The sequence below is a fragment of the Homo sapiens genome, chromosome X (genome assembly GCF_000001405.40).
Source record: "Homo sapiens chromosome X, GRCh38.p14 Primary Assembly".
NCBI lineage: Eukaryota > Metazoa > Chordata > Mammalia > Primates > Hominidae > Homo > Homo sapiens.
Window position 1 is genome coordinate 136,142,079 of NC_000023.11, and position 13,473 is coordinate 136,155,551.

Below are 13,473 nucleotides of genomic sequence, written 5' to 3' on the forward strand. Positions count from 1 at the left end.
TCGTTAACAATTATTGTATATTTTCAAAAATCTAGAAGAGCCAAATTGAATGTTCCCAACACAAAGAAATGATCAGGCCAGGCACAGTAGCTCACGCCTGTAATCCCAGCACTTTGGGAGGCCAAGGCGGGCGGATCACCTGAGGTCAGGAGTTCGAGATCAACCTGGCCAACATGGAGAAACCCCAAGTCTACTGAAAATACAAAATAATTAGCCAGGCATGGTGGTGTGTGCCTGTAATCCCAGTTACTCGGGAGGCTGAGGCAAGAGAATCACTTGAACCCAGGGGCAGAGGTTGCAGTGAGCTGAGATTGCGCCACTGCACTCCAGCCTGGGGACTCCGTCTCAAAAAAACAAAACAAAACAAAACAAAAAAAAGATCAGCATTTGAAGTGATGGGTATGCTAATTATCCTGATTTGATCATTACACATTGTATACATGTATTGAAATATCACACTGTACCCCATAAAGATGCACAATGATTATGTGTCAATTAAAAATAATAGTAAAAAAAAAGATTATTTCTTGACATGGAAAGATGCTTATCATTAAACAGATTACCAGGTCGCCAAAATAGAAATTGTTTGTATCAGGGGTCAACAAACATTTCCTGTGAAGAACCAGTAAATATCTTCAGCTTCGTGGGCCATATGATCTCTGTCACAACTACTCTGTTCTACTGTTGTACTGAGGAAGTAACCACAGATAATATGTAAACAAATGAATGTACTTGTGTTCCAATAACACTTTATTTCTTGACACTGAAATGTGAATTTCATATGAATTTTACATGTCACAAAAAATACCCTGCTTGAAATAAATGAACTGTAAAAACATTTGGGAGACATCTGGAGAATTCAGAATCCTGACTGGGTATTTTTTGGTATTAAGAAATTTTCGCTAACTGTTCCTAGGTGTGATGATGATATTGTTCTTATGTTCTAAAAAGGAGAAAAGCATCTTTATCTTTTAGCCATATGCACTTAAGTATTTCTGGATGGAATGATATGATGTTTTGCATTTGATTTAAAATAATCCGGTGTATGTGTGTTGGAGGGAATTGGTAGGAGAACTACAATTAAAACAAAATAAATCATGTGTTGATAATTTCTGAAGTTGGGTGTTGGGTGCATGGAAGTTCATTACATTATTTTCTCTATTATGTATATGTTTATATTTCACCACAATGAGTTTTCAACATGGCGAAACCCCATCTCTACTAAAAATACAAAAAATTAGCCAGGCGTGGTGGTGGGCTCCTGTAATCCCAGCTACTCGGAAGGCTGAGGCAGGAGAATCGCTTAAACCTGGTGGGTGGAGCTTGCAGTGAGCAGAGATCAGGCCACTTCACTCCAGCCTGGGCAAAAGAGTGAAACTCCATAACAACAACAACAACAATAACAACAAAACAACAACACTATTATAATTTAATGCTTACCATGTTCCAAGAAACTGGAAGTATAAACAAGGAAAATACATTGCTTGCCCTCAAGGAGCTTATGATCTGCTGGGGAAAACAGACACATGAAATGACCAGGTATGTCACGATTACCTATCGGCATGAACCAAATGACCAAATGCCACGGGAGAACTGGATTCTGCCTGAGTTGGTCAGGAACGGCTTCAAAGAGACGGTGAGGTTTCACTATTTCAGAAGTAGAATTTCTAGGACTTGATGACCTACGGGATGTGAAAAAGATGGAGTCAAAAGTAATAGCTTTTACTTTGCCCACGTGGGTGGGTGGTGTGCCATTAATGGAAACAGGAAATACGGGGGGGGGCGGGGAGGGGGCGGGAAGAAATAGATCAGGGTGGGGGCAGGCAGGGGAGAGTTCAGCCTTGGACCTACAGGAAGTTGTTGAAACTGCTCTAGGCAGAAGGTTACTTAGTTACCGCAGTAACTAAGGTTTCAAGAGGGGAATGCACAGGATGTTTTTGGAGATCCTTCTAGATCCCGGACTAAGAGCCTACAGGCTGGGGAGAGGCAGGAGGTAAGGCTGGCTGGAGAAGTAGATGTGTTCTCTGAGAGCTGTTTTGGGCTCCACCATTGACAGGACACGTGATGATCATGAAATGGAGCCACTGTTTCCCTGTGGATTCCATTGACAAAGTCAGATGAAGGTCTTAGCACCACTTTGGGGGAAAAATAACTAACCTGAAAGAAGCAGCCACTTTGGATGACTGTAATAAAAGTGATGAACAGTCTTTTTTCATTGTTTTGGAAGTGGAGTATACAGGTTTGGATTGTGGGCTCTGGAAATATGCTGCTTGGTTTTAAATCCTGGTTCCAAGGTTGCTTAAGCCTCGGTTTCCTCATCTGTAAAGTATCTCATATAAGAGTAAATAAAATGATGTATGCAAACTGTCCATTACATAATACATTTTCAATAACTTAGAATTATTAGTTCTAATGGTACTTTTTGAAGAGAATGTAAAGGACTTGATTACTTTGTGTGCTGATAAATGCTCCATATTTCCTTCCAAGGAAATTCTTGGAAATTCTTGCTTAAATTCTATTGAAATTGAAGGCCGTTTTCCTCGTGCTCTGTTCCTTGGAAAGGCAAGAAGGAAGAATGAATAAAGGAAGAGGGAGAAAGGAAGGAGTCTTGAGAAGAATGAATCACAACTAACACTGATTGAATGCCAAAGAATAGCCAGAAGTTTCCCTGAAAGAGGGTGCTCTGTCCAGAGCCTTCCATCATGGGTGCCTCTTGGCTGTTTCTTTTGGGCTGGGCTGTTTCTTTGGGCTGGTATGGGGTGGGGAGTTGTCTGTGGCCAAGCTAATTGTTCAATGCCTTTCCATGATGGAGTGGGGGCAGATTGGCTTCCTCTTCTCCTAGGCAGTGTAGCGGGACTTCTCTTGCCATCTAGAAGGACCAAACTTCAGTGCTTCTGAGGGCTTAGAAGGGGAAAAGAGAAAGCCCAGGCCCCTGGTGCTAGGAGCAGAGAAGGGTACTTTGTAAGCGCTTATGCTGCTGGTTCTCTGGTAAGGGAGACCACTAGCCAGTTTGTGCGACATGGGGCAAATAGGAATCATGAGGATCTATTTGCTAGATCTGTGTATACCACACCATCCCTACACCCGCCCCTGTCATCATCATCTACCTCCATGGTCTTCTGTACAGTGAAGAATGACTTTCGGCAGATGGAGGGCCAATTCTCCCCATGAATCCAGCCCTTATTCCATCTCACCTAGGCAGGGGACTTGACTCCTTTAGTAAACCCTCCTGTCATGCCTCACCAACCCCTCTCTACTGATTATCCCTAAACTGTTGACCAACAGGCTCTCATCTCTCAAATCACAAAGAGAGAAGAGAATCTTTGCTTGTCCCTACTCGCTCCTCCAGTTCTGCTCCATTTTTCTTCCCATTTACATTGGAAAGTCTCAAAACAGTTGTCTACCCTATGCTGTCTCTACTTCAACTCCAATTCCCTCTGCAACCCTGTTCCATCAAATCCTTCCACTTTCCTCCACTAGCACCACCCTAATCTAAACCACCATCAGCTTTGATAGGAACTATTGAGAAAGCCTCCTAACTAATCTCCCTATTTAAATTTTTAATCTCTTCTGAACCATTCTCCATATAGTAGTCAAGGTGGTCTTTTAAAAATGTAAACCAGATCTGGAATACTACTCAGCAATAAAAAAGAGCAAGCTATGGAAACACCCAACAACTTGGATGAATCTCAAGGGACTCAAAACCGAGTGAGAAAAGCCAATCTCAAAATGAATATTGTATGATTCATTTACAAAACATTCTCAAAATATCAAACTTACAGAAATGGAGGACGGATCAGTGGTTGCCAATGGTGAAAGACTTGGGGAACTGAGGAGATAGTTATTGCTGTTTTATAATTACAATACAACAGGTAAGATCCTTGCAATGATGAAACTGTTTTATAATTGACCATGGTAGTGGAAAGAGGCCACACGTGATAAAATTGTATAGAACACACACATACCAGACGTGCACGCGCGTACACACACACACAGTAGAAGTAAAACTGAAGAAATCAAAATAAGATTGGTAGATTGTATTAATGTCAATATTCTAGTTATCTTATAGTGTAGTCTTGCATTGGGGGAAATTGGGCAAGGGGGACCCCAGATCTCTCTGTATTATTTCTTACAAATGCATGTGAATCTACAATCATCCCAAAAGACAAAAGTTTAGTTAAAAGAAATATAAGTCAGACCGTGTCACGCCTTGGGGTTAAGCCACTCATTCAATGCCCTCCCATTGATTTTGGAATGAAGTGGCCTGCCCATGGACTGCACCTGCCCATGGACTAGTATGCAATCCACGATCTGGTCCCTGCCAACCTGTCCAGCCTTACTTTCTGGTACTCTCCCCAGCTTTCCTGGCGCCAATCATGATCACCACCTTTTAGTTCCAAAGCATCAAGATTTGGTCCCTCCTTCTGACTTGTTTTCTGGAAAGCTTTTTCCTGGCTCTTTCATATCTTTCAGGGTTCAGCTTAAATGTCACCTCCTCCTTTCCTAATCACACTATTTGTACTTTTCCTGCACAGGCTTTATCCAAATTTGATTATTTTCTCACTTCTTTATTGTCTGTCTCCCCCACTAGATTACAAGCTCCCAGGGCAGGGTGCGTACTGTCTGCAGACAACGCTGTTATCACCAGAGCCCGGCACTGAGCTTGGCACATGGCGAGGGCTCAGTAAACTGAATGCTGAGTGAATGAGACGCCACGCGCCGCTTTGCCATCGGTGCTTTCTGAGTGACGTTAAAACGCTCTGGATGGTGGCACTGGGATTATGGATGGGGCTTATTTAGCTCCCTCCGGCTTGCTACTAAGGGGAGGGGTCGTCGGTGGGCCTTTCGGCGCCGCTGCAAGCCACCGGGTTCCGAAGTCGGAGGCCGAAACGGCGTGGGCCCCGAAGCGGGGCCGCTTTTCAGGGAGTGCGCAGGTTAGCGAGGACCCCGGTGAGGCGAGACGCCACCCTCACTTGGCTGTCTTTGTTGCTCCCACCTCCCCAGCCCCAGCCGCCTGCAGTGATTCGTGACTCCCGCAGGCCTCTAAGGACCGCTGCGCGAGGGAGGGGGCCCGAGGCGCCCCCGGCCCGCCCTCCTCCCGGTCTTCGGATCCGAGCCGGTCCTCGGGAAAGAGCCTGCCACCGCGTCCCCGCAGCCACCCTCTCCGCGTGCCCGGCCCTCTCCAGTGGCGGGGGCACGTGGGCGCGCGGGGTGCGTGGCAAGCCGCCCCTCTCCCCACGCCCGTCCGGCCGTCTCCCGCGCGCGCGCCCCGCACACAGCCTCCGTGCAGTGGGCAGAGCCCGGCCCCGCGCGCGCCCCGCCCCGCCCCTGGCTAGCCGCGCCCGCCCCCGCGCTCCTGCTTCCTCCCCTCTTTCCCTCCCCGCCTCCCAGGCGCGCACCCCTCCCCTCGCGCCCCTCCCGCGCCCTACATCCACCGCCCGGCGGAGGGGGCTCAGTCCGCAGCCGCCGCCGCCACCGCCGCGCCTCGGCCTCGGTGCAGGCAGCGGCCGCCGCCGCCGAGACAGCTGCGCGGGCGAGCATCCCCACGCAGTAAGCCCGCTTTCTTTCCGCTTGTGCGCGCGTGTGTGCCTCCCGCCCGCCGGCGTCCTGGGTCCCGGGGGAGCGGCTGCCCTTCTGCCCCGCCGCCGCCGCCGCTCGGGGCTGGTCCCTGCGGTCCCGGCTGCCTGGCCTTCCAGGGCTGGGTACTGCGGCTTCGGCGGCCTCGCTGAGGCCGGGGGCCAGGGGCCGTCCCGGGCTGCGGGGTGCGGGACGAGGGACTGCGAGTGCGAGGTCCCCCCTGGTGCGTGCCTCGGCCTTCCCTGGGTTTTTGGCTCGATGGGGACTAAGAGGCAGTGGGGTGGAGGTGGGGGGGATCGGGAGTGAAATGGGGGCTCTCCATGTTTTCCTGTGCGGGGGATGGTGGGGAGTGAGGAGGGAGTGAAGGGGGGGCCCTGGTTTTGTCACCAAGGATGGCGGGCAGTGGGGGGTGGGGCGAGGTGGGGACACCTCTTGGTTCTTTCAGCCAGGATAGCTAGCAGGGGCTGTGGGGAGCGGGTGAGGATGAAGCGGTGGGTCGACTCCCTTGGTTTTCCCATCAAGGATGGCGGGGATCGTGGAGGGGGGAGATGGGAGACCTGCCTTGCTTCGCTCAACGAGGATGGCGGGGGTGGCGACGAGGAGTAGACGTGAGGGGGCCCGCCTCGGTTTTCTTGACTGGGATGCTTGTGGGGTGGTTGGAGGATGGGGGTGGGGTGCAGAATAAGGAGGGAGGGGGAGGGCCCGCTGTGGTTCTTCTGTCCAAGGGGGATGGCGCGGGTTTGGCGAATGGGGGTGGGGAGGGGGTATTTCAGCTCCAGCGTGGAATCTAGAGAAGCACGAGGAAGGTTCTATCACGGGGGTTGAGCCTTAGAAGGTGGGTTTTCAAAACTGCAGGGCGTGACCTCTCCCGCCTCGAAAAACGTGAAATCCTTACAAGGTGCCGTCTGTTCTAGGCTCTGGGACAGAGGTTTCTGCTTTCGAAGTTTCTCTTCCTTTCCTCTCTGCTCTTAGCGTCCAGGACTAGGTAAAGGTTAAAAAATCATCAAGGCTAAGCGACTGTTGTGTCGTTCGTGTTGAGCGCTGTATTATTTTCTGCATTTGGGAATGTGCGAGTTTCTCAGGTTTGTTTTGATTGCCTTTTACAATAAAAACCCCATACTAGGGAGATCCCTTAGGAAAAGAAAAGGACAAGGCTTATTAATGGGATGCCAGGTTTGGATTTTGAATTTCCTGAAGGGCAGGAGATACATCCTTGTAGCATTTCGCTTGGTTTTGAGAAGAGTAGAAGTAGTAGAATAAGCGTATGTATTTGCTGGAAGTCCCCTTGTATTCATTTAAATTATCCCTTCGGGATTATCCGAGCCCCCTTTGATTTGGGTTTGGAATAGATCCAGTTTTCCTAATTGGAGCCATCATCTTGTAATTGCTTGTAATTCTTCTCTGGGTTATCAAGTCTATGGCAAGCTTATAGAACAGCAGGAATAATTTTTTCCGTCATCTTAAGACAGTTTTAATGTAAACGTTACGGTGTTCCTTGCAAATGTGAACATTTGCAGAATAGCACAAGTTTAAATTATGGGCCCCCCTGGAATTTTGTAAAGCCTTTCCTGCCTCAGCTCATCTCCAAGAACCGGGCCCTCCCGATCCTTACACTGAAGAAGCAAGAGCTTCTGGGATGGTAGCTTTGCCTTTACAAACTCATGTTCATGTTTGCTTAAGAAGAATACGTATTAAGCAGGCATTTGCCTTTTATGTGGTGAGACTATAGTGTTTTCCCATTTTTGGTTACATAAGGTTCCGATCAAGTCTTTACCTTCAGTCTTTAAAAATGCTTATTTAACATTTTTAAGGGCAAATATAATCTTTATGCAACAGGAAATTGGTCAGATAGGCCATGATTTGTGCAAACCACCTCACGATAAGTACATAGTCTAAGACTATCATATAGATTCTGTAACCATATATGGTTTTTGAAATTCTAGGCTACCATTCCCATATTTAATTTTCAGAAAAGGAAAATATTTTTTTCAGCCAAGTCTAGATTTTTGAGTGAAACTAAGAAAAATTGTGTAAGATTTAAATTGATAAAATTCCTCCTGTATAATACCAGTGCATTGGAGGTAATTTAATATATATTAAATGAATCGACCGCTAAAACAAAATAATTATTTTTTTTCCTGGAAGTGTTAAACTGGAAATGTTTAAGGGGAAATAGATTTTTAGTCACAAAGACCGACAAAAATGCATTTATTTACACTATTGTATTATAATGTTAGTATGGTATTCATTCTGTGCCCCCAAATAGCAATTGAAAAAATAGCATATTTTTATAATAAAATTTAAGCATAATGTTTTTTTCTCTGAGGAGTAGAATGCAGAAAGTGGTAAAAAATCTTTTACAGAGAGAAGCATGTTGATAGGAAGTGGGCTTTAAGTTTCTCTCTGGACAGAAGGTGTAAATGGCGTATCTTTTACCTGGCTTTTTGAGAATCTGTTGCCCTCTAGGACATGAAAGACATTTCAGGAATTAACAGAAGTCGGATCAAATTCTCTTGCTAGATGTTCTTAAAGATTTTGCTGATACGCATTTGAAAATTTGTAAATCACGTTTTCATGTAAGAAATTAACCCTCACCTCTAAAGTTTGAGCATTAAAAAAGTTTGTTGAAGGCATGGAAGGTAATCTCCTGTGACTGAACCCTGTTTTCCCACTCTCCACCTCCTAGTTCCCTTCTTCCCCATGCCTCTCCTTTCTCCCCCGTCCGGTGCCAGCAACATTGGCTTTTATAACCTTATGGGAGTTGAACCAAATATTCCTGCTTGCTCGAACTTGAGGCCTTATCTTTTTGGCTGCTTTCCCCAGCTTTTGCCTACTGAACTTTTTTTTGTTAATTGAACTATCTAGTTGTTTGGATTTGGGGTAAAAGGGAGTAGACTGTAATTGTTTTTTCTTAAAAGATCTTTTCTTTTAGCTCCTGTGGGACAAGAGCAGAGAAAGGTTCTTTTTTGGTCAGTGGTGTACTTAATTAAGCAGAATATATGACTTTTCGTTTATTCAACAAACATTTGCCGAGTTACCTCCTCTGTTGGAGGCTCCATGCTAGGTGTGGAGTTATTTGGTTGATAAGAAATGGCTTCCACCTTTCTGGTGAAGTTATGAAAATGAAAAATAGACAGTGAATCTGTTGTGAGTAATCAAGAATTGTCTGGAGTTTTTTGGACAGACAAAAAAGATTTCTTGATGTTTACATTCAGCTTTGTATTACTGTATAGAGTAGGGAGAAGTGGATGGCCAGCATCCCTTCCTGCGACTTAATGCATCTCTGATGGCAAATTGGGCCTCCCCAAAATATTTTTCTGGGGTCAACTTTGAATTATGGATAGTAATGGATGATGGAGCCCAGAAGAGTGGATAGTCCTAAATAGTAGCTCGAATAAACCTTTGACCTTCTACAGGGTTGCTTCCTGAGTGCCTGGAGAAATCCCCTCTTTGTGGATAGTGCCACACTGGTGGTTTTCAGCCAGGGCGCTTTTGCCCCCCGGGGTCACTCAACAATTTTTGCTAGATGCACTCCACTGGCATCCAGTTGGTAGAGACAGGGATGCTGCTTAAATATCCAACAGCGCATAGGGCAGTGCCTGGCGGCAAACAAAATTATCCAGCCTGAAATGTCGATATGCCGAGGTTGATGTAATTTCCTCTACATAATGTAGCAGAACATAATTCCAGGAGAGTAGAGAACAATAACAGCGTCTTGAGGTGACTGAGTAGTTGGCGGAGCTCACTTTATTCGTCTCAAAAATGACTAGTTTCAGCCAGGTGCTGTGGTTCACGCCTGTAATCCCAGTACTTTGGGAGGCTGAGGCAAGCGGATCACTTGAGCCCAGGAGTTCGAGACCAGTCTGGCCAACATGGCAAAATCCTGTCTCTACTAAAAATACAAAGAATTAGCCGGGTGTGGTGGTGTGCGCCTGTAGTCCCAGCTACTTGGGAGGCTGAGGCACGAGAATCGCTTGGACCCAGGAGGCGGAGGTTGCTGTGAGCTGAGATTGCACCACTGCACTCCAGCCTGGGCGACAGAGTGAGACCCTGTCTCAAAAACATAAAATAAATAAATAAAAGTGACTAGTTCCTGCATACCAACCTGAAGAATTAAAGAAAATAACAGCTACCATTTATGGCACTTACTCTGTGCCAGAGGACTTGTATACATTATATATTCTCTTCATTTTATAAATGAGGAACCACACTCAGAGAGGTAGAAGATCTTGCCTGGAGCCTCACAGCTGGTCAAGGTTAGAAGTAGAAATCAAGATTAAGATTATTACTCCTTTTAAGTTCATGGTTTTAAGCACAACTATGCATTATCTCCCTTGCGGCATGCATCATTCAAAATCTTATGTAACAAAATGAAAATTACTATATGTCCTATATACCATTGGGCTTGCCTGAGAGTAATTAAAACCATGAATGCTAAATGTGATCATACTTGGAGTAAGTGACAAGGAGTAGGGGAAAAGGGAACCAACATTAATTGAACACCTACTAAAATTTCAGGAAGCACGCAAATTAAATATATACTCATTGTCTAATTTGATTCTCAGAGCAACTCTGCAGTTATGATGCACATTTTACAGATGAGAGTGGGAGATATTTGTTAAGTAACTTGTCTAAGATTGCACAACTAATAAGCAGCAAGGTTGGGATTTGAGATGATGTCCCACAACCAAGCCACTCTTTGCTGCTTACTCTAAAGGTAGGAAGTAAGTTGAGCCTCTTGGAGAAAGGAAGGTAACTGGCTCTGGGTAAAAAGTAACTTCAGGCAGAGCGCAGTGGCTTACGCCTGTAATCCCAGCACTTTGGGAGGCCAAGCCGGGCAGATCACCTGAGGTCAGGAGTTCAAGACCAGCCTGGCCAACATGGTGAAACCCCGTCATGGCTAAAACACAAAAATTAGCCAGGCGTGGTAGTGGGTGCCTGTAATCCCAGCTACTCGGGAGGCTGAGGCAGGAAGAATTGCTTGAATCCAGGAGTCGGAGGTTGCAGTGAGCCGAGATAGCGCCACTGTATTCCAGCCTGGGCGACAGAGCTAGACTCCATCTCAAAAAAAAAAAAAAAAAAAAAAGTAATTTGAGAGGTAACACGTAGTAGACGTTGGATTATATTCAGGTAGAGAATGGAGAGATGAATTGCTATACCTTCCTCATCTGATAAGAATCGAATTCTACCTGGAATTTGTTCTAGAGATCTACTCAAATTGAAACAGTGATTGTCATTTTGTCAAACTTCATTTTCTATCTCACCTGAATTTTCCAAGCTGTGCTTTGATAACCATGAACCTGGAAGTTATGGAAATCTGTGCTTAACCTTTCGGTAGCTCACCTTCCACCTTTCTTAGGGCTGTCCTGTAGAACTTAGGAGTGACAACATTTGGTTTTTGTCTTCTTTTTACACAATTTAAACATTTGTGCTTGCTATGGAAATTGTTTTTATAATACGCGGCATCAAATTCATTCTTGTGTTTTTCATATGGGGTTGTTTTGTTTTGACAACTAAATATTTACTTTAAGTTTTAACGTGTTTTGTTTCGGAGCACAAAAAGAGGAAACATTTAAAAAACAGCCCAATCACAATCATTTTGTCTGAAAAGCATTTTTTTGCGGGAGGTGGGGGGGGGCAGGAAAAGGACCACATGTTTAATTTCATTTGCTTCAATTGGAAAGGAATTTTAACCACGATTCTCAAGGGCCAGGATGCTGGAAAAAAATGTTATTTAGATAAAATGCCTGTTTTGATATCCACATAGAACTGTGAGCCATAGATTCTGATTATAATAATAATGTCCTGATTCTACTACAGCAATCAGCCACTTGAGTAATCAACCACTGTGTATAGACAGACATGCATGGTGGTACCATCTGATTTGTCCCATCACCCATTGATTCATTCTAGAGTAGACTTGAGAGATCTGATAGAACTTGCAAGAATGAATGATCCTTTTGAAAATCAAATTTTTCAATAAGAATGGTACATTTTATTGTAGGAAAATGCAGAAAATATAGAAAAGCTTCAAGAAGAAAACCAAAATCAGTCATAATCCACCACCCCAAAATTAATGACAATATTTTGTATGTCCTTTAAAAATGGAGTACTTTCTAAAAATGGTGGATTCAAGCCCATTGCAAAACCTCCAACTTATATAGTGTGTTATTTTTTTTTAAATGACTAGATTTTCTGAACGACTGCTACATCTCTAGATGGAAGTCATGGTCATAACCCATGAAAAGGGAAAGCTGACAGGTAGTTGGAGAACTATGCTATAGCCTCTTCCTGGCAGCTATGTAAAGAAGCTTAAGGGTAGCTCCTTCAAATTTCTCCTCTTCCAGCTTGAATGATCAAGTTTCAATGCTAAAAGAGGCTGTTAGTACCCACCCCCCATTATTTTACAGATGAGGAAACTGAGGCTCAAAGGGGTCAAGCACCTAATGTGCTAACGTCAGAGTTCCAGCTTGAATTTTTAGATTGTCTTCATAGGTAGGTAAATTTTTTATTTCCTAAAGATTCTTCACAGTCAAAAACTTTTTCATGGCCTGACCCTCAAAAGAACAAGCTATTGTGGTGGGAGTATACTATAAAGGATACTAAAAGGCCAAGTATAATAACTTGCTAATTTCAGAATATGTTCCGAACAGCTGTGGGCAGTACAGGAATTTTTCATGTTATTTGCTTTATTGTAATTGAACATTTAGTGATGGGGAACCTCTTGGATGGGTCTAGCTCTCAGTTTAATTTTCTCTAGCCTATGAGGCAAGTGCCAAGGCATATGAAGTATGCCTATAGGTACAAAAATGAAAGATGACATTGAAAGAGTCTTTAGACATGGTAGCCTGGAAGATCGCAATTAGGGCTTTTGCTCCATGAAAGTATTTTTTTCCTTTATAAAGGGAGATATCTGTTGAAATTGTGGGATAGAGATTTTAAAGATTGCATCTGCTTCCAAACTAAGGTCAAAAGTTAAATTGTAGTAAATGTGTGCAGTGTGGTATCATTAAACTGTACACACATACGTGAAATTGTTGTTTTAATCTGGCATCTTTTTTTTTTTTTTGAGATGGAGTCTCCCTGTGTCGCCCAGGCTGGAGTGCAGTGGCGCTCTCTCAGCTCACTGCAACCTCCGCCTCCTAGCATCAACCGATTCTCTTGCCTCAGCCTCCCTACTAGCTGGGATTACAGGCACGTGACACCACATCTTGCTAATGTTTGTATTTTTAGTAGAGACGGGGTTTCACCATGTTGGCCAGGCTGGTCTCAAACTCCTGACCTCAGGTGATCCACTCACCTCGGCCTCCCAAAGTGCTGGGATTACAGGCGTGAGCCACCACGCCCGGCCTTAATCTGGCATTCTTAAAAAAATCAGTTATTTAGCTTTCTTCCCCCTCTTCTCCTGCCCCATTTCATTTCTTTCTGTAGCTGTGAGGGTCATTCTCTCTTTGTATCTGTTTCACTCTCAGGGTGACTCTTTTTTCAGTCCACCTGACTGCACTCACTTTCCTTTTTCCAGGCTCTCCGTGGATCCATATCCTTCTATCACATTCATCTGCCACTGCATCTTGCCCTTGTCCCCGTTTGCCAGTGTTAACAATTACCCCACCCTGGGCTGGGCCAGGGCTGTTTTTCAGCTTAGGCCGGGCAGGGAAGCTGATCTCCAGGGCAGATGTGGAGTGAGAAGAGTTGTTGTCACTCTATACAGAAATGTCATTGACAGAATAGGATTAAACAAAATATGTACAGAGATTACATAGGCTATGTATACATGTAAACTTGTGAACACAAAATCATTCCTTCTTTACAGCTAGGGTCCCAGCAAATGCTACAGCTACATGAAATAATGAGTATGGATACCTATTGCCGAGGGCTTACTATTTGAACAAGTGA

General features: G+C 44.7%; 1 protein-coding gene across 13 annotated transcripts in view, besides 1 other annotated feature; it reads left to right on the top strand.

The window, feature by feature from the left end:
* Positions 1,314-2,513: an enhancer, noted in NCBI's record as "BRD4-independent group 4 enhancer chrX:135225551-135226750 (GRCh37/hg19 assembly coordinates)". NCBI's record gives its function as "activates an origin of replication core promoter dependent on BRD2, P300/CBP, MED14 and CDK7 cofactors, and independent of BRD4, by STARR-seq in HCT116 cells {active_cell/tissue: HCT116}" and the evidence as "EXISTENCE:reporter gene assay evidence [ECO:0000049][PMID:35650434]".
* FHL1 (four and a half LIM domains 1) overlaps positions 4,624-13,473 on the top strand; it is a 64,658-nt gene continuing 55,808 nt past the window's right edge. For 3 of the 13 annotated variants that reach the window (NM_001159702.3, NM_001449.5, NM_001159703.2), the window contains exon 1: positions 5,455-5,550. The gene's annotated coding sequence lies outside the window, so the exon portion shown is untranslated. Of the gene's footprint in view, positions 4,935-5,454; positions 5,551-5,573; positions 5,801-6,004; positions 6,069-6,386; positions 6,413-6,480; positions 6,660-13,473 lie in introns of those variants that run through there. The other 10 variants (NR_027621.2, XM_047441926.1, NM_001369326.1 and 7 more) reach the window with 5 other exon arrangements.